This window comes from Homo sapiens, chromosome 5 (genome assembly GCF_000001405.40).
Source record: "Homo sapiens chromosome 5, GRCh38.p14 Primary Assembly".
Taxonomy (NCBI): Eukaryota; Metazoa; Chordata; class Mammalia; order Primates; family Hominidae; genus Homo; species Homo sapiens.
In genome coordinates, this window is record NC_000005.10 from 137891909 (window position 1) to 137915438 (window position 23530).

General features: G+C 38.9%; 1 protein-coding gene across 8 annotated transcripts in view; it reads left to right on the top strand.

The window, feature by feature from the left end:
- Nucleotides 1-23530, top strand: part of PKD2L2 (polycystin 2 like 2, transient receptor potential cation channel) — a 53291-nt gene that overhangs the window by 2452 nt on the left and 27309 nt on the right. For 4 of the 8 annotated variants that reach the window (NM_001300921.2, XM_017009343.3, NM_014386.4 and 1 more), the window contains 6 exons: nt 572-705; nt 2445-2701; nt 7608-7829; nt 14298-14526; nt 15834-16004; nt 16857-17038. In NM_001300921.2, coding sequence (NP_001287850.1) covers nt 572-705; nt 2445-2701; nt 7608-7829; nt 14298-14526; nt 15834-16004; nt 16857-17038 — 1195 coding nt within the window. The remainder of the gene's footprint in view (nt 1-571; nt 706-2444; nt 2702-7607; nt 7830-14297; nt 14527-15833; nt 16005-16856; nt 17039-23530) is intronic. The other 4 variants (NM_001258448.2, XM_017009344.3, NM_001258449.2 and 1 more) reach the window with 4 other exon arrangements.

Consider the following 23530-nt stretch of genomic DNA (forward strand, 5'->3'; position numbering starts at 1 on the left):
CTCCTGATCTCAGGTGATCCACCCACCTCAGCCTCCCAAAGTTCTGGGATTATGGGTGCAACACCACGCCCCGCCACTAGTTAATATTTTTAAAAACTCATCATGTGCCAAAACACAGTTTAAAATGTTCTGTGTGCATCATCTCACTTCTCACAACAAAACTAGGGGGTAAGAGATACTATCCCTGTGATGGGACTCACACCCTTATCTGTCTGAATTCAAAGTCCATGTAACCTTAACCACTCACCATACTATATTGCCTTACTCTCATGTAGAGAAAAAGTCAACTTGCAGAATAGTGTGTATAATGTGTCCTCATTTTTGTAAAGATAAAATTATTTTCTTTATAAATGTGTATGCATAAAGAAATGTCTGAAGAATATTTGCCAGACTAATTCTAGAAACCACATCCTACTTTTTATATTTCTAGTTTAGATTTTTTAAATTATTACTTTTATAATTAGATTAATAAAGTTTAATTTTCAAAATTGAGAAAAAAATGTAACATTTTTAATCCTGATAAGCTGAGTTTTTAAATGTAAATTATTAAACAAAAAATTATTCTCCTTAGTGACTTTTGGGATGGTAAACCCACATATGTATTACTTAAACAAGGTTATGTCATCTCTATTTTTGGACACTTCTGTGCCTGGTGAAGAAAGAACCAACTTTAAGTCCATTCGCAGCATAACTGATTTTTGGAAGGTAAAGTATCTTGTGACTGTGGATGAAGTAGATTTAGGTAGTCCATGAACCCTTGGCATACACAGTGGGCACTCAATGAATATCTTTTGAAGAAATGAATAAAAATAAATGTCATTTCTTTAAACTATTAGAAACAACCAACCAGTAAGTGTTTTTGAGAGCCTGTGTTCTCAGTTTGATACTATTCTTGTAATTTTTTAAAAAATTTTTTTGGCCAGGCACGGTGGCTCATGCCTGTAATCCCAGTACTTTGGGAGGCCAAGGCGGGTGGATCACCTGAGGTCAGGAGTTCAAGACCAGCCTGACCAACTTGGTGAAACCTCGTCTCTACTAAAAAATACAAACATTAGCCAGGCATGGTGACAGCCACCTGTAATCCCGGGAGGTGGAGGTTACAGTGAGCCAAGATCATGCCATTGCACTCCAGCCTGGGCAACAGAGCTAGGCTCCATCTCAAAAAAAAAATTTTTTTTGATTTTTTTAGACATTCTCATTTCATTTGTTAAATAGAAGACTTGCATCTACTATGTGAGGGTTAGGATCTAGTCTATAATTGTGTATAGTGAAATTTACTTTTAAAAATTTCTTTAATTGCCCAGAAAGTGTAATATATGTGGTTTTGGCATAAAACCTTTACTGTTTATATGTGTTACAGTAAGGTACAGTATATAATAAAATTTATATATAAGAATATAATTTCATGGTGTTTTTACTTACGTAAGGGAATCATTCCTTCAGCAGTGGAATAGACTTGCTTTTTCCATTACATTTAACATAGCAACATGCTCACATTATGAAGAAAGAACAGTTAAGGGGACAGCAGTTTCAGCTATCCCAGGTCACAAAACCTGGCATATGCACATTGGGGCATATAAGGACAAGGCAGAGAACGCTTCCAGTGGTGATGACAATTTAGTTGCATTTTGAAGCATGAATCAGGGATGGGTATTTTAGGAAGAAGGAACAATATGTTCTATAAGTAATTCTACATGTGGAGCTATGTTTGGTATTGTGAGCATATGGAAGATGAGGTGGAAAAGACCAAATTATGAATTGGACAGAGTTCATATCATGAATGCTGTGCAGGAATTTGAAACTTATCAAGGAGACACGGTCATTTCCTGGAAGAGGGCAAGTGTGAGATGAGGGCTAAATGATCCTAGACGGTTGGTTTAGGCTAGGTGAAATAGGAAACAATAATAAAAGAGGTGGAGGTCACCTTGCCACTTTGTTATTGTGTTTTCTGAAGCATGTATGTGGCCAATGGCAGAGAAGACAAAGGGAGGAAGTAAATGAACCCTGGGCTTGGGTTCATCTTAGAACGATCAGCAAGGGCCAGAGCCAGGAGTAGCAGGCACCATGGCCAGAGTCGGGGAGGAGGGTTGGGAGGAGGGGTACAGACAACTTTGGAGTGAAATCATGATGTGTGGCTATGACCAGCTCTGATACTCATGTATTGGAAGAAAATTTTCGATTTACTCATATAAGGAGAGAAGAAGGGCTATGGGATTCCATAAGTTAATGCTTGTAAAGTGCTTAGAGCAGTGCCTAGTACACAGTACGTGCTTAATGAGTGTTAACCATCCACAGTAGCTTCATTAGCATTACCATTACCATTAATGGTAGCTTGGTCAATAGTTTGATTTTCATACTCAAAATCTCTTATGCATAATGTTATGAATGTAGATTCTGTTGACATGAAAATATTTTTCCCATGACATTTGTTTTTCTCTGTGGAGTTTATGGAAGGACCCCTTTTGGAAGGTCTGTACTGGGATTCATGGTACAATAACCAGCAGCTGTATAATTTAAAGAACAGCAGTCGCATCTACTATGAAAATATACTTCTAGGAGTTCCCAGAGTTCGTCAACTAAAAGTCCGCAACAACACATGCAAAGTCTATTCATCTTTTCAGTCTTTGATGAGTGAATGTTATGGCAAATATACTTCTGCAAATGAAGACCTCTCTAATTTTGGCCTTCAAATTAATACTGAGTAAGTAGCATAAAATTATACTGTAACTTTTTCTAGCATTTACTGTTGTATCTTTTAGATATGTGTCTTCCAAGTAACACCAGCTGGGTCCTGGAAGGGTAAGGAAACTGTTTCAACAATAGTAAAAAAGGAAGATGTGGAGATAGCAGTGTTTAGAAAAGGAAGGGTGAACCTATTATTTTTTGTTTACTTTAGGATGCAAAGTGTTTTCTTTTTTCTGACTTTGGTATATGAACTGCTTAGTCATATTGGACACAGGGCAAAGCATCCATTTTTGCTTCTAAAATGGTCAATTAATCTGCTTTTCTGGCTGTGGCTAGATGCCCACAACACATCCCCAAGACAATCTGGGATCCTTAGTGGGTGTCTTAGGTGTGCTCTGTCACTTTCCTCCTCTCTCATTCTGGCTTCCTTCAGTGATTTTTTTCTGTTGCTGCCCCTACTAAAATGGGGCAGTTATGCTCTACAGGGACTGCATCTGATGATGCTTTACAAAGATGCTATGGCCATTGTGTTTCAAAGTGACTGAGGCTAGTGCTGGTGTAGACTCGTGTACACTTTATATTGAAAATGTGAGGCTGGACATGGTGGCTCACACCTGTAATCCCAGCACTTTGGGAAGCCAAGGAAGGAGGATTGCTTGAGGGCAGGAGTTCGAGACTAGTCTGGGCAACATACTGAGACCTAGTCTCTACAGAAAATTTAAAAATTAGCCAGGTGTGGTGGGGCTTGCTTACCTGTAGTCCAAGATACTCGGGAGGCTGATCCAGGAGGATCACTTGAGCCCAGGAGGTTGAAGCTGCAGCAAGCTATGATCACACCACTGCACTCCAGCCTGGGCGACAGAGGGAGACCTTGTCCCTAAAAAAAAAAAAAAAAAAAAAGGAAGGAAGGAAATGTGAAAACGCAGTGCCACTGGCACTGCCTCTCCTTGACACAGAAGCTGCTGGTATCAGTGCAGTGCACACTTTGTGCTTTTAGAGCTTTATGAAAACCATTGGCTCACGCCTGTAATCCTAGCACTTTGAGAGGCTGAGGCAGGTGGATTATTTGAGTTCAGGAGTTTGAGACAAGACTGGCCAACATGGTGAAACCCCATCTCTACTAAAAATACAAAAATTAGTCAGGTATGGTAGCAAGCACCTGTAGTCCCAGCTACTCAGGAGACTAAGGCACAAGAATCACTTGAACCCAGAAGGCGAAGGTTGTGGTGAACTGAGATCATGCCACTGCGCTCTGGCCTGGACGGTAGTGTGAGACACAGTCTCAAAAAAAAAAAAAAAAAGGCCAAGTGTGGTGGCTCACACCTGTAATCCCAGCACTTTGGGAGGCCGAGGCGGGCGGATCACCTGAGGTCAGGAGTTCAAGACCAGCCTGGCCAACATGGTGAAACCCCATCTCTACTAAAAATACAAAAATTAGCCAAGCATGGTGGCACATGCCTGTAATCCCAGCTACTTGGGAGGCTGAGACAGGAAAATCGCTTGAACCCAGGAGGCACAGGTTGCATTGAGCCAAGATCGGACCACTACACTCCAGCCTGGGCAATAAAGAGCAAAACTCCGTCTCAAAAAAAAAAAAAAATTGAGAAGAGAATAGACATTTTTTGTAATTTGATATTTATTAAAGTGATACAAATATCTACAAAGGCCTACCCTTTCCTACTCATAATTTCCACTCTCCAGAAGCAGCTACTTTTAACTCTTTTATAGTTGTTTCTTCTGGTATATACTTTGTCTTTCTAAATTACATTCTCATACTGCTACCTTATACTTGATTTTACAGTTGTGTTTTGGCTTTGTTTTTGTTTTTTTCGTTAGGGGCAGGATCTCACTCTCTTGCTCAGGCTGCAGTGCAGTGGTGTAATCATTGTTCACTGCAGCTTCAAACTCCTGACTCAGGCAATCCTCCTGCCTCAGTCTGCTGAGTAGCAGCTAGGACTACAGGAATACACCACCACACCTGACTAGTTTTTCATTTTTTGTAGAAACAGGGTCTTTCTATGTTACCCAGGCTGGTCTCAAATTCCTGGCCTCAAGTAATCCTCCTGCCTTGCTCTCCCGAAGAGCTGGAATTACAGGTGTGAGCCACTGCGCCTGGCCTCTATTGTTTTTCTGTCTTGGAAGGTGATGCGTCATATAGCTCTCTTATGCTACCCCTCTACACACACTCTTCCTGTTCCTCTTAGCATCTCAATATAGTTATATCATAATTATTGTCAATCATTAGTCAATGTTTATATTATAAATATGAATAGTGATTATATTTCCTTTCTTGAACAACCTGTCTTGAACTCCCAGGATTAATCATTGCTGGGTTTTTTTTTTTAACTTGTTTCTTCTTTGTATGAGTTTGTAGTGTTCCTGAGGACTTGTATGATTCTTATAAATCGAATACATTCATAAGTATGATGATACATTATTATATTATTATTATTATTATTATTATTATTATTATTATTATTATTGAGACAGGGTCTTGCTCTGTTGCCCAAGCTGGAGTTCAGTGAAGATCATAGCTCACTGCAGCCTTGACCTCCGGGGCTCAAGCAATCCTCCTGCCTCAGCCTCCCAAGTAGCTGGGACTACAGGCACATGCCACCACACCCAGATAATTTTTGTGTTTTCTGCAGAAATGGGATATCACCATGTTGCCCAGGCTGGTCTCGAACTCCTGGGCTCAAGCAATTCACCCGCCTCGGCCTCCCAAAGTGCTGGAATTACAGGTGTGCACTATCACACCCAGCCCATTCTCTTAACTATTACAGTACTATTCACTTTCTTTCAACCCCAAATTACAAGATAAAGCAATTATTTACACCTTTTAAATTGGAATCCTAAGACTAATCTTTTAAGAATTTTAATATTCCAAATTCTCATAACAAGTACAAATACTTTATTAAATACCAAAATTAACACTATCAATTAGGTTTATTTTATAATCTCTGTACTGGAATTGTGAATTAATATCTGTTAATCCTCAACAATGAAAAAAGAATCAATTTGTCCTTGTCTAAAATGTAAAATTCACTAATTAAAAACAAAAAATTGGAAGCTAGGAGAGATCTGGTGTAACAGATCTTCCTGTTTCCACTTAATAGTCATGTGTGGAAAACACTCAAAAATACAACTATGGAAGTTTCATTAAAACATAGGTACTTTTTCCTAGTGGTGTCTCTTTCCCTCCCTGCTGAAACATAGTGTTATTAGTAGAACAGGTTTAAGCAGTGCATCTTTGAATAACCTTTCAAATCTGTTTTTGGGGAACTGAATAGAGAGACTGAAATGAGGAATCAAAGCTTTCTTTTTTTGGATATCCTGTAATTAAATTAAAAAATAAAAAGAAGAAACAAAAAAAAAATTTTTTTTTTTTTTTGAGACAGAGTCTCACTCTGTCACCCAGACTGGAGTGCAGTGGCGCAGTCTTGGCTCACTGCAGCCCCCGCCTCCTGGGTTCAAGAGATTCTCATGCCTCAGCCTCCCAAATAGGTGGTATAACAGGCATGCGCCACCACGCCCAGCTAATTTTTGTATTTTTAGTAGAGATGGGGTTTCACCATGTTGGCCAGGCTGGTCTCAAACTCCTGGCCTCAAGTAATCCGCCCACCTCAGTCTCCCAAAGTGCTGGGATTACAGGCATGAGCCATTGCACGGGATCCAAAATTTAGTTATACACAGTTTACTTTGATTTTATGTTTCATTAAAATATCTACGTAACAACATGGACATTGTAACAAAGTTTTTATTGAGCATTTATAAACAATATGTTACATTTACAAGACAGATTATGAAGCATGTTTTTTACCCATTTCTGAGCCAAAACTCTTGATAGTTTTGTCCTACTCAAAAACTAAATATCTCATAACAGAAACAACCTGTTAAAGAAAAAAAACAGTCGTCATTTTCTAGATTCTAAGCTCCCTGAGACAACAGATGGATTTTTTTGTTTTTTAGAGATGGGATCTCACTATGTGACCTATGCTACAGTGCAGGGACTATTCACAGGCACCATCATCGACACTGCAGCCTCAAACTACTGGCCTCAAGCAGTCCTCTCATCTCAGCCTCCTGGGTAGCTGGGACTACAGGCATATGCCACCACAGCTAACAGATGGATTTTTTTTTTTTTTTCTGAGACAGGGTCTTACTTGGTCACCCAGGCTGGAGTGCTGGAGTGCGGTAGTGCAATCATAGCTCAGTGCGGCCTTGAACTCCGGGGCTCAAGCAGTTCTGCTTCAGACTCCTGAATAACGAGGACTACAGGCATGTGCTGCCATGCCCAGCTAATTTTTGAAAAGTTATGGATTTTTGAAAAATTATCTCATAGCACCTAGTCCAGTGGTGTTGCCCACCATATGCATTAAAAAGTAAAAACTACATTAAATCTTAATTAAATCGTAATCCTTTAATCCTTAATGCATTGTCTTGCTTTAAAATTACTAGAATACTTATGAATTTACTACTGCTTTTTAAAAAACTACTACTTTTGTTTTGGTTTTTTGTTTGTTTTTGGTTTTGTTTTTGTTTTGAGACAAGGTCTGGCTCTTTGCCTGGGCTGGAGTGCAGTGGCATGATCACAGCTCACTGCAGCTCAACCTCCCGGGCCCAAACAATCCTCCTACCTCAGTCTCCTGAGCAGGTGGGACTACAGGCACATGCCACCATGCCTGGCTAGTTTTTGTATTTTTTGTAGAGATAGGGTTTCACCACATTGCCCAGGCTGGTCTCGAACTCCTGGGCTCAAGGGATCCGCCTACCTCGGCCTCCCAAAGTGTTGGGATTACAGGCATGAGCCAGCGCACTTGGCCAAAAAACTACTACTTTTGAACCAAAGATCGATTTAAATTCTTAGAATACTTCTCAGTTGGGCTTTGTCATTTCACCATTATTCTTTTTATGTGTAACAGATGGAGATATTCTACTTCTAATACCAACTCCCCTTGGCACTGGGGATTTCTTGGTGTTTACCGAAATGGGGGATACATTTTCACTTTATCAAAATCGAAATCTGAAACCAAAAACAAGTTCATTGACCTTCGACTGAACAGCTGGATCACAAGAGGGACTAGAGTTATTTTTATTGATTTTTCCTTATATAATGCTAATGTAAATCTATTTTGTATTATCAGGTGAGTGACTCAAAACTTTTTTTCATAGACAGTGGTCAATGGCCTACAAAACTTCTTTATTAGTACAGTTGACCCTTGAACCACATGAGTTTGAACTGCACAGGTCCACTTAGATATGGATTTTTTTCAGTAAATATATTGGAAAATGTTTTGAACCTTTGTGACAATTTGAAAAAACTCCCAGACAAACCATGTAACCTAGAAATACTGAAAAAAAATTAAGAAAAAGTTAGGCATGTCATGAATGCATAAAATACCTGTAGATACTCATCTATTTTATTGTTTACTATCACAAAGTATACACAAATCTATTATAAGAAGTTAAAATTTGCCAAAACTTATGCACATAAACATATGGCACCATTTGCAGTCAAGAAAAATGTAAACAAAAGATGTAGTACTATATCATAACTGCATAAAATTAGAGTACGTACTGTACTAGTGTAAGAATTTTGTAGCCATCTCCTGTTGCTATTGCAGTGAACTCTAGTGTTATGAGTATCCATTTAAAGTGTCGTGTGATGCTCACCATCTTCACATAAGCAGTTTGTCTCTCCAGTAAATTGTGTATCTCAGTAAAAAAGTGATCTCTTATAGTTCTCGTGTGTTTTTTATCGTATTTAGTGCAATATCATGAACCTTTAATAACACCATGGGACCCATACAAAGTGCCACTAGTGATACTGGGGGTGCTCCCACAAAGTAGAGAAATATCATGACATTGAAAGAGAAAGTTGAATTACTTGATATGTATCATAAATTGATGTCTGCAGCTGCAGTTGCCCACGATTTCAAGATAAATGAATCCAGAAACTAAGGACCATTGCCCTGGAAGCAGGGGGAAGGAAAGGAAATTCATGAAGCCATCACTGCAGCTATGCCAGCAGGTGTGAAAACCTTGCCCTTTTTGCAAAATACCTTTTTATCTCATTGAAAATGCAGCTTCTATGTGAAATTCATGAAGCCATTGCTGCAGCTCTGCCAGCAGGTGTGAAAATCTTGCACTTTTTGCAAAATGCCTTTTTATCTCATTGAAAATGCAGCTTCTGTGGGAATGCAGGATTGCTGTAAGAAAGGCATACCTTTAGATTCTAAAACGATTTTTAAAAAGCAAAGTCAGCCAGGCACGGTGGCTCACGCCTATAATCCCAGCACTTTGGGAGGCCGAGGTGGGAGAATCACCTGAGGTCAGGAGTTTGAGATCAGCCTGACCAACATGGAGGAATCCCATCTCTAATAAAAATACAAAATTAGCCGGGCGTGGTGGCACAGCCTGTAATCCCAGCTACTCAGAAGGCTGAGCTGGGAGAATCGCTTGAACCTGGGAGGCAGAGGTTGTGGTGAGCCGAGATAGCGCCATTGCACTTCAGCCTGGACAACAAGAGCAAAACTGTGTCTCAAAAAAAAAAAAAGAAAGAAAGAAAGAAAAGTCATCATGTGACAACTGGTAAAAGGAAAGTGAAGGATCTAAAGTTGGAGAATTTAATGCCAGCAAAGATTGGTTTGATACTTTTAGAAAGAGGTTTCACTTTTAAAAATGTCAAGATAGCAGAAGTAGCTTTTGCCAAGCAAGTGGCAGCAGACAATATAGCAGACGTCATTTTGAAAATCATTGAGGAGAAAGGATATCTGCCTGAACAGGCTTTTAATGCAGACAATAGTGCCCTATTCTGGAAAAAAAAAAATGCCACAAAGAACATTGATTAATAAGGAAGAGAAACAAGCACAAGGATTTAAGGCAGGAAGGAATAGGCTTACTCTACTGTTTTGTGCAAATGAAGTCAGGTTTATTATCAGGACTACCCTTATCTATAAAATTGCTAACCCCCCTAACCTTGAAGGGAAAAGATAAACACCAGCTTCCAGTCTTTTGGTTGTACAACAAGAAGGCCTGGACAATGAGAACTCTTTTTCTACAATGGTTCCATTGATGCTTTTTCCAGTGGTTTACTTATCCCCAAACACAACATCTCTAATTCAGCCTCTAGATCAGGGGATCATGAGGACTTTTAAGGCTCATAACACACAGTACTCTTTAGAAAGGATTGTCGACACTGTGGAAGAGAACCCCAACAGAGAGAACACCATGAAAGTGTGGAAGGATTGCATTATTGAAGATGCCATCATCGTTATTAAAAACTGTGAAACCATCAAACCTGAAACAACAAATACCCGCTGGAGAAAACTGTTCAGATGTGCATGACTTCACAGGATTTATGACAGAGTCAATCAAAGAAATCATGAAAGAGATGTGGATATGGAAAAAAAAAAAAAGTGGGAGGGTGAAGGGTTTCAGGAAACTGATCTTGGAGAAATCAAGAGCTAATGGACACCACACCAGAGGAATTAACCTTCCAAATCAGTGCCAGATAACGAGAAGGAAAACATAGAAACAGAACAGAAAACAAATGGACATTAGACATCTGGAGAAGGGTTCCGATTATTCAAGACTGCTTTTGACTTCTTTTATGACATGGACCCTTCAATGATATAGACACAGAAACTAAAGCAAAGGGTTGAAGGAATGGTACTGTGTAAAACGTTTTTAGAAAAATGAAAAAAAAAAGTCAGAAAAATTACTATGTAAAATCTGTAAAGTTTCACTGAATGCACTCACCTCTCCTGCCTCTCTTTCTACCTCCTCCACCTCTTCCGCTCTGCCACCCCTGAGACAGCAAGACCCTCCCTTTCTCTTCCCCTCCTCCTCCTCAGCCTACTCAGTATGAGGGCAACTAGGATAAAGACCATTATGAAGACCCACTTAGTGAACAGTAAACATATTTTCTCTTCCCTATGATTTTTTTTTAGTCTGAGTCTCACTCTGTTGCCCAGGCTGGAGTGCAGTGAGCTTGGCCTGGCATAAATCAATTAGCATGGTCCATGTTAGGGAGGTGACCTAAGGTAACCCAATTAGACTAATGGGAATAATTTTTTTTTCTCTTTGGTTGGTGCTATCTCTTTAGTGACATCAATGACATATAATCACAGTTGCTGCTTGTACACAGACATCTTGGGGAAGCGTAAGATACTAAGCTAACACAAAGGAGGGCAAAACTGAAGCCATCTCAAAGAAATGGAGCTAGATCTGTTAACTTACCACAAATGGTGTCTGCTGTATCTCTGAAACTGCTGCTATGTGACAGAAATAAATTTCTTTGTTGTTTAAACCAATTTAAGTTGGGGTTTTTGGTTACAACCAAAAGTCTCCTAAATGATTCAGAGGTAAATTGCTGAGGCCCAAGTTGGGTCTTGTATCTAGCTTTTCCTAGGTAACAAACCACCTCCAAGTGTAGTGGCTTACAATAAATATTTCTCATGTGTTTACAGAGTTCAGTTGATCCAGCTGGGCTTGACTGATCTCTGTTAGGCTTGCCAATATAGCTGCCATTTGGCAGGACCCACACATGCGTCTTTAAGTTGGTTCTGCTCTACATGTATCTCATCCGTCTTCTGGGTCCAAGTTAGCCCAGGCATGTCTTTCTCATGGCAGTTGTAGAGGTCCCAAAGAGCAAGTTCTAATGTACAAACTCATTTCAAGTTTCTGCTTGCATCATATTTGTTAACATCCCATTGGCCAAAGAAATTCATGTGTTTGAGTCCAGCATCAAGGGCTGGGGCAGTACACCCTCTCCTGGGTGACAGGCCAGGCAAAAAGATGTGAAGAACTATAGCTATTTTTGCAATATACCACAGGCTCTAACATTTCTGGGATGCTGGCTGCTATTACACATTGAAATTTAAATTGTTCATTCTTGAGACAAAAATTGGTAACTTAATAAAGAAGCCATTCTGAAAGGAAACCAACAGATTTTAATGATCTGATTACAGGAGGAAATTATCGAGACTAAATGATAGCTCTTTGTAGCTGCAGAAAGACAAGAAATGAGACTACATATTCTTAAACATATAAAACTAACATATTGTATGTAATCTACATGTTCCTAAATAAATTTTGAAATAATAAAACAATGTGATGTTACTTTTCCACATTGACAGTAGAACTACATTTTTTATTTTTTTATTTTTAATTTAATTTTTGAGATGGAGTCTAGCTTGTTGCCCAGGCTGGAGTACAGTGGCATGATCTCAGCTCACTGCAACCTCTGCTTCCTGGGTTCAAGTGATTCTACTGCCTCAACCTCCTGAGTATCTGGGATTACAGGCATGTACCACCACACCCAGCTACTTTTTGTATTTTAGTAGAGACGGGGTTTCGCCATGTTGGCCAGGCTGGTTTCGAACTCCTGACCTCAGGCGATCCACCCGCCTTGGCCTCCCAAAGTGCTGGGATTACAGACGTGAGCCACCCCGCCCAGCCTACGTTGTATTTATTTTAAACCTTATGATTTTAATCTCAGCACAAGCATGAACAAATTAAAAACCCTATTAAGGGTTTATACCTCCTTCATTGGTGGGTTCAGATATGAGGGCTTCGGATGTTTTTTAAATTCAATATATAGTTGATCTTCAAACAACATGGGAGTCAGAATCAAGCACTAGCAAAGGATTTGCTCTAGAATCAAACACTTAGCAAAGGATTACCATGATTGGATCTGCCTGGGGATTTAATCAGCTTCCACTAAGTGATCTGGGGATGGGCGAAAGACTGAATTCAATTAAGATTCTGTTAGAAAAAAATGGAATAATGACTGCTAAAGAGGCAAACAACAGTGTCTACTATACACCATCTAATACTATGCCATAAAAAGAATGCGATCATATCCTTTGCAGGGACATGGATGGAGCTGGAGGCCATCATCCTTAGCAAACTAACACAGGAACAGAAAACCAAATACTGCATGTTCTCATAAGTGGGAACTAAATAATAAGAACACATGGACAGAAAAGGGGGAACAACAGACACTGGGGCCTACTTGATGGAGGAGGGTGGGAAGGAAGAGGTTCAGAAAAAAACTGTCAGGAAGTACGCTTAGTACCCAGGTGAAAAAATAATCTGTACACCAAACCCTCAAGTCGCAAGTTTACCTATATAACAAACCTGCACATGCACCCCTGAACCTAAAAGTTAAAAAAAATTTACTTTAAATCAGTGAGCCATTTTTCTCTCGTAAGTCTTACATTTTTTCCTGAATGGAATATGGAATTGGAGTTTAGGGGATTTTGCTCCCCGTGCAACAGGGAGAGTGAAACACACCATGGCCTTTAAAATATGTAAAAATGAATAAAACAAATAAACTGCCTTAAGCAGCCAATGGATATTATACCTTTTATTTTAAAGTTCTCTCAGAAAATCAGAGCTTTTTACCAACTTCATTCACCCTTCCCAACAGTCCTGATCAGGATAACATGAAGAGTACAAATTATTTTTATGTTCTAAACAAGAATGGAAGCATTGAGGTAACTGGCTTTAAGTCACATGAAGAAGCCCTTGTAATATAAGATTAAGTCCAGATTTCCTCTCTGAAAGTTTTATGCTTATTCTGTTACCTTTTAAAATGTTATTTTTTAGAAACTTCAGCAGACTTTGAAACTGTTAACTGGCGTATCTAATCAGTAGTTGTGTAGATGCATATTACTTACACCTTATCCGTTTATTTTCGTTTTTGTACAATTATCAGGCAAACTAAACAGAGTATTAATTTTTCCTTTTTTGATTAGTCTACACTTCAGATCATAATATTGAGTTTCCTTCACTTCACTCACTGCCTAGTATGTGTAAGATGTAAGTTTTATTTGTTAACTGAGGTTTTGTTTTTGTTGTTTTGGGAGCACCTTATAAGAGTACCAACATTTGCTAATATCTTTAGTAGGAATAATTAAATTGTAATATTGTGATAGAAATGCTGGTTCCTCAAATTGCCACCAATTCTTAATTATCAGAAGTTGTGGAGAACACCAGAGATACAGTGAACCTCAAAATCTTTTTATATGTAGTGTTGAATTTAATTTTTATACTTCTGTTTGCATATAGATCTTTGTATCCGCATCCAACAGAAAACATTTGCTTTAGTAGAATATGTGACCTTGACATTTAGAAGCAAGAAGCATTTCTGATAATCTAAAGAGGGAGAATGTATGTCCTCCCTCTGAAGTATTCAAAAATTATGTATATTGGGGAAGAGTTTTAACTAATAACAGTAACTAACAGTATAGCATTTTCTTGAACATATCATTCTCCTGTGGACATAAATTATATTCCCAGTTATGAACAAGCAAGCTGAACACAAAATAGAATGAATGTCTGAAAAAAAAATCACAACTTGCTTTCTCATTTACATTGGTCTTTGACCACTGTGAATATTCAGGTATAGAAAAAGTGGAGCCACTATGAAATAGGTAAATCTAGAAGATGTTTAAATTGAACCCATTTCCCCAAGGAAAAATACTTTATTAAAAAAAACTGATTATCATTAAAGCATACATAATCATTGATTGAAAATTTCACATTAAGTACTGAAATATAAATGCTTGAAATGAACAGTTGCTTTCACAAACCTGATTTTACAGATTGGTGGCAGAATTCCCTGCAACTGGAGGAATACTTACTTCATGGCAGTTTTACTCTGTGAAGCTCCTCAGATATGTTAGCTACTATGACTATTTTATTGCTTCCTGTGAAATCACATTCTGTATTTTTCTTTTTGTCTTCACAACACAAGAAGTCAAAAAAATAAAAGAATTTAAGTCTGCCTATTTCAAAAGTATTTGGAACTGGCTAGAATTGCTACTTTTGCTGGTGAGTATATATTCATGTGTATGGTTGAAGGGGATCACATCTGAACCTACCAATGAAGGAGGTGTAAAAAGACAGAATCTTCTATTCATCCAGGACTTATTTTGAAAGCTACAAGTATCAAACATAAAATGTACTGGGAATAGTACTACTAATGGGTGCCTCCAAAAGGGAGAGATCTATTTTTTTCTGATTTGGTCCTTGGGAGGGTCAGCGTAAACCTACAGGGAAAGGTGATTCCAGAAATATTACGCTTTAATGTGCACAGTAGGCCTCCCTACCCCTACTTAAAAAATGTATTACTTACAGGGCCTTGAGTTTCACCAGTCACGGGTCTTTGGGGGCAAGGTTGTTTAAAATAATCTATGTTGCCTAAATCTGTTTTCCTTCTCATAATAAATTTTGAAAAAATAGACAAAAGACAAGGCTAAGCAGAATACTGACAGGGGTGAGCAGCCAGAGGAGACCTTATGAGTCCAGAGGGCACCAGGTTTGGGGAAATAGTCCCTGAAAGAAACACCAAAGACCATCAGTTCTAGTCAATGAAATGCACTGAAATAAACAGAGATTTAGGCAGGCCGAGACAAATGTTAAGAGTTTGGTCTTAGGAACAAAGAACCAATGTTTCTGGCTTATACAATCTGATCTTTCACCCTTATTGGCCCTTAATTATAGCCAATCAAGTATTTAAGCCTTGTTTCCCAAAAACAGATTGAAGGTTTCTGAGAGTCAGAAAGCATGCCACCTACCTCTCTGGTAACTCCACTAATATCTTACAAAGGACATAACATTAAATGTTTATTTGAGCATTTGAGGCAAGAAAAGTCAAAGGAAAATTTTCATGTCAGTTATAAAACTCTGATAGCTAAAACAACCTGGTTCTGAAATACTCTTTTAAAGGGTTGTTAAAAGGTTCCAGAAGGTTTTATTTTTTGTAATTGTAAATTGTTTCTTGTAGTGTTACACGGTAGAAAATGTTTAGCTTTTAAGTATTATGTAGAGCAAAAATCCTTATGGCCTCAGAGTTACATAATCATTTTATACATTTGCGCTTTATGACGCAAAGAAACAAAGATTTAGATAGGTTAGGATGGCCAAGCAATTAATATTTTTCAACTTTATAATAATTAATGCTACCTTAAACTTGTATAAGTTGAGGGTAATTTCCATTTATGTAAAAGCATATGTCCTATCTTTCCTTCCCTCTTTGTTAAACTTTTGATGAACTTTTTTTGTGTTTCCTCATAGGCTGTAAGATATTTAGAGGTAGAGATATTCTCTAATTTAACCCTTCTTATTTTCCCATTTAGTTGTGTTTTGTGGCTGTTTCCTTCAACACATACTATAATGTACAAATTTTTCTCTTACTTGGACAGCTGTTGAAAAGTACTGAAAAATATTCAGATTTCTATTTTCTTGCATGCTGGCACATTTATTACAATAATATAATTGCTATTACCATCTTTTTTGCATGGATAAAGGTATTTATATTTCATTATATTACATAATACAAGCAGTGTAATAGCATAATGAAAAATTAAACTAAAAAGCCATGGGGAAAAAAGATTTTTTCAACTATTAAGTAATTTTAAAAGTAGTTTGGGCCAGCACAGTGGCTCATACCTGTACTCCTAGCACTTTGGAAGGCCAAGGCAGGTAGATTCTTGGCCCCAGGAGTTTGAGACCAGCCTGGGAAATCCTATCTCTACAAAAAATATCAAAAAAATATTAACTGGGTGTGGTGGTGCAAGCCTGTAGTTCCAGCTACTCTGGAGGCTGAGGTGGGAGGATCCCTTGAGCCCGTGAAGTGGAGGTTACAGTGAGCTGTAATCCCCCACTGCACTCCAGCCTGGATGACAGAAAAAAAAGAAGTTGGCCAGGCACGGTGGCTCACGCCTGTAATCCCAGCATTTTGGGAGGCTGAGGTGGGCGGATCACCTGAGCTCAGGAGATTGAGACCAGCCTGGCCAACATGGTGAAATCCTGTCTCTACTAAAAATACAAAAAATACTAGCTGGGCATGGTGGCACGTGCCTGTAATCCCAGCTACTAGGGAGGCTGAGGCAGGAGAATCACTTGAACCTAGGGGGCAGAGGTTGCAGTGAGCCGAGATCATGCCACAGCACTCCAGTCTGGGTGACAGAGTGAGACTCCATCTCAAAAAAAAAAAACAGAAGTTTGGCCTTGTAATGATTGCTGGGAAATCCTCAAACACCCATGATTATCATTAAATATCTCCTTTAATTCGAAGCAGAATTCTTCTGAAATTAATTTATTCTAAGTAATTTCATCTTTGATATTCTCCTATTTCAATTAACTTTGTTCTTTTTCAGATATTCAAATTCATAAGCTTTAACAAGACAATGTCTCAGCTGTCATCAACCTTGTCCCGTTGTGTTAAAGACATAGTAGGATTTGCCATCATGTTTTTTATAATATTCTTTGCTTATGCCCAGTTAGGATTTCTTGTTTTTGGATCACAAGTTGATGACTTTTCCACTTTTCAGAATTCCATGTAAGCTCTTAGTATAAATGTAATTATATCTTCTATATTTTCTTACAAAAAAAATTGGAAAGGTCTAACCTTCTATGATAAGTAGTAATATAAGCTTTAATATATTTAAACTTAGTTTGATATTTTCTTTTTCTTTTTATTTTTCTGGAGACAGGGTCTCATAGCTCACTGAAGCCTCAAACTTCTGGACTCAAGCTATCCTCAGCCTCCCAAGTAGCTAGGACTACAGGTGTGCACCACCACGCTTGGTTGATTACATTTTTATTATTTTTTGGTCTCACCATGTTGGCCAGGGTGGTTTTAAACTTCTGGGTTCAAGTGAACCTCCTGCCTCGGCCTCCCAAAATGCTGGGATTACAGGCATGAGCCACCAGCCTGGCTGATATTTTCACTGATGGCTAAATATCTGTCACATTCAAATTAGGATTTGACATTGAAGGAGCCAAATGGGTGACGGTGTCCATTTTTAAGGTGTTAATAGGTCAAGTTAGAAAAATAATTTTTCATTTTTCATTGGAAGTGATAATTTTACCTAAGATAATAGAAATTGTCCCCCATGTCTCTGTGGTGTTTATTCTCTGGACAAAAGAAATTTTTTTTTTTTTTTTTTTTTTTGAGACAGGGTCTCCACTCTGTCACCCAGGCTGGACTACACTGGCGTTATCACAGCTCATTGCATCCTAAAACTCCTGGGCTCAAGCAGTCCTCCCACCTCAGCCTCCCAAGTAGCTGGGTGTGCCACCACATCCAGCCAATTTTTGTATTTTTTGTAGAGATAAGGTTTAGCCATGTTGCCCAGGCTGGTCTTGAACTCCTGAGTTCAAGTGATCCTCCTGCCTCGGCCTTTCAAAAGTGCTGGGATTACAGATGTGAGCCACCACACCCAGCCAAAAGAAATCTTAAGTGTTTTCTTTAGAGGGCTCCATCTTAATATTTTTATTGATATTGACCTGATCGTCCTTTGCTAATCTGCCAAACATGTATTTTTAAAATAGCTTTAGGCTGGGTGCCATGGCACCTATAATCCCAGCATTAGGGAGGCCAAGATGGGAGAATCACTGAGGCCAGGAGTTCAAGACCAACCTGGGCAACATAGCAAGACTGCGTTTCTACAAAAAAACAAAAAACAACTAGCTGGATGTGGTGGCATATGCTTGTATTCCTAACTACTCAGGACACTGAGGCAGGAGGATCACTTGAGCCTGGGAGTTTGAGGTTACAGTGAGCTATGATCACACCACTGCACTCCAGCATGGGCAACAGAGTGAAACCCCATCTCTAAAACAATAATAATAATAATAATAATAATAATAATAATAATAATAATAAAACTTGGTAATAATTGGCATTGAATACAGATGTAATAATTTACAGAGCCTAGGAAATTTGTCTTACCGTGGGTAGTGAAGAGGAAAGGGAAGTATAAAGCACAGAACAGGTAGAGAACTTTGAAATGGGTTAATGAGAGGACGTCTGTTTTTGGTAAGGATATGTTAGGTTATTCAGATCAATCTCCTCTTGAGGACAATTTTAAAAGCTGGATGGGCCGGGTGCGATGGTTCGCGCCTGTAATGCCAGCACTTTGGGAGGCCGAGGCGGGTGGATCACCTGAGGTCAGGAGCTCAAGACCAGCCTGGCCAACATGGCGAAACTCCGTCTCTACTAAAAAAAAAATACAAAAAGATTAGCTGGGTGTGGTGGTGTATGCCTGTAATCCCAGCTACTCAGGAGGCTGAGGCAGGAGAATCCTTTAACCCGAGAGGCAGAGGTTGCAGTGAGCCAAGATCATGCCACTGCACTCCAGCCTGGGCGACAGAATGAGACTCTGTCTCAAAAAAAAAAGAAAAACAAAAAAAAAAAGCTGGATGACATAGAAAACAATGAAGAATTAATAAGAGAGTGAGTAATAACTGGGCCAAAGTCAGAAGGCAACAACCCAGAGAAGTAAGCCCAGCACCCAAAGCTATTTGCCCTGAAGGCATTTTAAAGCCCCTTTTTCAATATTTTTATGGTGATAAAATATATATAACATCAAATTTACCATTTAAACCACTTCTAAGTGTACAGTTCAGTGATATTAAGTACATTCATATTGTGCAACCATCACCACCATCTATCTCCAAATCTCTTCATCTTGGAAAATAAAAACTCTATACCAATTAAACAATAACTCCCTATTTTCCCCTTCCCTGGCCCCTGTCAGCCACCATTTTACTTTTTGTCTCTATGATTTTGATTACTCTAGGTACCACCTGTAAGTGGAATCATATGTTATTTGTCTTTTTGTGACTGGATTACTTCACTTAGCACAAATGCCCTTAAGTTTCATCCATGTTGTAGCATGTAGTCGGAATTTCCTTCCTTAGAAAGGCTGAATAATATTCCATTATATGTATATTCCACATTTTGCCTATTCATTCATCTGCCAATACACACTTGGGTTGGTTCCACATTTTAGCTATTGTGAATAACAGTGCTGTGAACATGGATGTATAAATATCTCTTCAAGACCCTCCTTTCAGTTCCTTTGGTTATATACCCAGAAGTAGAATTGCTGGATCATATGATCTATTTCCCCCTCCAGACTTATTAAGGTATAATTAAAATTATATATATTTATGCTATATGGTGTGATGTTTTGATACATGTATACATTGTGAAATGATTAAATCAGGCTGTTTAACATATCCATCACCTCTCATATTTATCATTTTTGTGGTAAGAACATTTAAGATCTACTTCCTTAGCAATTTTCAAGTATACATTATTAACTATAGTCACCATGCTATACAGTAGATCTCCAGAATTTATTCTGTCTAACTGAAATTTTACACCCATTGACATACATCTCTCAACTCCCCCTGAACTCCACCTCTCCAACCCTTAGCAATTACCGTTCTACCCTCTGCTTCTATGACTTCAACTTTTTCAGACTCCACATGTAAGTGAGATCATGCAATATTTGTCCTTCTGTGCCTTGCTTATTTCACTTAATATGATGGTCCTCCAATTTCATCCTTGTTGCAAATGACAGTATTTCCTCCTTTTCAAAGATTGAATAGTGTTCCATTGTTTATATATGCCACATTTTCTTTATCCATTTAACCATTAATAGACATGTAGGTTGATTCCCTATCTCAGCTATTGTAAACAATGCTGCAGTGACATGGGAGGGCAGATATTTCTTTCACATACTGATTTTATTTCCTTTAGATACATATACCAAGAAGTGGATTGCTGGATCATATGTTAGTCCTATTTTTAATTTTCTGAGGAGTATCAATACTGTTTGGCATAGAGGCTATACCATTTTACATTCCCACCAACAGTGTATGAAGTTTTCTTTTTGTCTCCATCCTTGATAACACTTGTTATCTTTTTGATAAGAGCCATTCTAACAGGTGTGAGGTGATATCTCATTTTGTTTTGGTTTGGTTTGAGATGGAGTCTTGCTCTGTTGCCCAGGCTGGAGTGCAGTGGCATGATCTCGGCTCACTGTAACCTCCTCTTCCTAGGTTCAAGTGATTCTCCCACCTTAGCCTCCCAAGTAGCTGGCATTACAGGCATGCACCACCACACCTGGCTAATTTTTGTATTTTTAGTAGAGATGGGGTTTTACCATGTTAGCCAGGCTGGTCTCGAACTCCTGACCTCAAGTGATCCACCAGCCTCTGTCTCCCAAAGTGCTGGGATTACAGGTGTGAGCCACCGTGCCTGGCCTAACTTGCATTTTCCTGATGATTAGTGATGTTGACCATTTTTTCATATATCTATTGGCCATTTGTGTGTCTTCTTTTGAGAAATGTCTATTCAGGTCCTTTGTCCATTTTTAAATTGGATTATTTGTTTTCTTTCTTTCTTTTTTTTTTTTTTTTGAGATGGAGTTTTGCTTTTGTTGCCCAGGCTGGAGCGCAATGGTGTGATCTCAGCTCACTGCAACCTCCGCCTCCCAGGTTCAAGTGATTCTCCTGGCTCAGCCTCCCAAGTAGCTGGGATTACAGGCATGCACCACCACGGCCGGCTAGTTTTGTATTTTTAGTGGAGACGGGGTTTCTCCATGTTGGTCAGGCCGGTCTCAAACTCCCGGCCTTCATTTTTGTGTTTTTTTAGTGGAGATGGGGTTTCACCATGTTGGCCAGGCTGGTCTGGAACTCTTGACCTCAGGTGATCCACCTGCCTCAACCTCCCAAAGTGCTGGGATTAAAGGCGTGAGCCACCGCGCCCAGCCTTCTTTTTTCTTTTTTTTTTTTTTTTTTTGAGACAGTCTCACTCTGTTGCCCAAGGTGGAGTGCAGTGGCATGATCTCAGCTCACTGCAGCCTCAACCTCCCAGGTTCAAGCAATCCTCCCACCTCAGCCTCCTGAGTAGCTGGGACTACAGGTGCATGCCACCACACCCAGCTGATTTTTAAAAATTTTTTGAAGAGACAGGATCTCATTTTGTTGCCCAGGCTGGTCTTGAACTCCTAGCCTCAAGCAATCTCCAACCTTGGACTCCCAAAGTGCTGGGATACAGCTGTGAGTCACTGTGCCCAGCCATGGCTAATTTTTTTTTTTTTTTGGGATGGAGTCTCACTCTGTCACCCAGGCTCTGAAATGCAATGGTGCCATCTCAGCTCACTGCAACCTCCACCTCCCAGGTTCAAGCGATTCTCCTGCCTCAGCCTCCAGAGTAGCTGGGACTATAGGCACATGCCACCACACCCAGCTAATTTTTGTATTTTTAGTAGAGTTGGGGTTTTGGCCATGGCTAATTTTTTAAATGTATTTTTTATTTTTATTTTTAGAAACTAGGTCTCACTATGTTGTTCAGGCTGGTTTTGAACTCCTGGCCTCAAGCAATCCTCTCACCTCAGCCTCTCAAGTAACTGGGATTAAAGGCGTGAGGAGGCACTGTGCCCAGCTTTTCTTTCTTTTTTCTTTTCCTTTTTTTTTTTTTCCCGATGAGGTCTTGCTCTGTCACTCAGGCTGGAGTGCAATGGTGTGATCCCGACTCACTGCAGCCTCCACCTCCCAGGTTCAAGCAGTCCTACCACCTCATTTTCTCAAGTAGCAGAGATTACAGTCATGCACCACCACACTTGGCTTTTTTTTTTTTTTTTTTTTTTTTTTTTTTTTTTTTTTTGATAGAGACAAGGTTTCGCCATGTTGCCAGGCTGGTCACGAACTCCTGGGCTCAAGAGACTCATCCGTCTTGGCCTCCCAAAGTGCTGGGATTACAGGCATGAGCCACCAACCCAGCCTGAAATTGCTTTCTTGATTTCTTTTTTGAATAGATCATCATTACAGGTTGAGCATTCCAAGTCTGAAAACCACAAATTTGAAATGTTCCAAAATTCAAAACTTTTTGAGTGCTGATATGACACTCAAAGAAATGCGCATTGGAGCATTCTGGATTTCAAATTTTCAGCTTTGGAATGCTCAACCAGTAAATATAATTCAAATATTCCAAAATCTAAAAAAAATCCCAAATCAAAACACTTCTGGTTCCAAGCATATCAGATAAGGTATCCTCAACCTGTAATGTATAAAAATGCTACTGTGTGTATCTTGCAACTTAATTCATTTATTCTAATAGTTTTTTGGTGGAATCTTTAAGGGTTTCTATAAATAAGGTCATATCATCTGCAAAGAAAGACAATTACTGCTTCCTTTCCAGTGTGGGTGCCTTTATTTCTTTTTCTTGCCTATTGCTCTGGCTAGGACTTTCAATACTGTATTGAATAGAAGTGGCAAGAGAGGGCATTCTTGTCTTGTTCTTGATCTTAGAAGAAAAGCTTTCAACTTTTAACCATTGAGTATGATGTTAGCTGTGGGTCTCAGATATAATGGCCTTTATTATGTTAAGGGACATTCTTTCTATACCTAATTTGTTTATAGTTTTTATCCTGAAAATACGTTGATTATCAAAATTTTTTCTGCCTCTATTAAGATAATCATATGGTTTTTATCCTTCATTTTTTAAATGTGTATCACATTTATTGATTTGTGTATGTTGAACCATCCTTGCATTGTAGGGATAAATCTCACTTGTTCATGGTATATGATCCTTTTAATATGCTGTTCAATTTGACTTGCTAGTATTTATTAAGGATTTTTGCATCTATCTTCATTAGGTATATTGGCCTGTAATTTTCTTTTCCTGTACTGTCTTTGTCTGGCTTAGGTTTCAAGGTAATGATAGCCACGTAAAATGAGTTTGGAAGCATTCCCTTCTCTTCCATTTTTGGAAGAGTTCGAAGATTGGCATTAATTCTCTTCTTTTCTTGTACTGTCTTTCTCTGACTTTGGTTTCAGGGTAATGCTGGCCATGTAAAATGAGTTTGGAAGCATTCCCTTCTCTTCCATTTTTGGAAGAGTTTGAAGATTGGCATTAATTCTTTAAATGTTTGTAGAATTTACCAGTGAAGCCAGATCCTTGGCTATTCTTTGTTGGGAGGTTTTTAATTTTAAATTTTAATTTTTATTTATTTTATTTATTTTTATTTTTTAT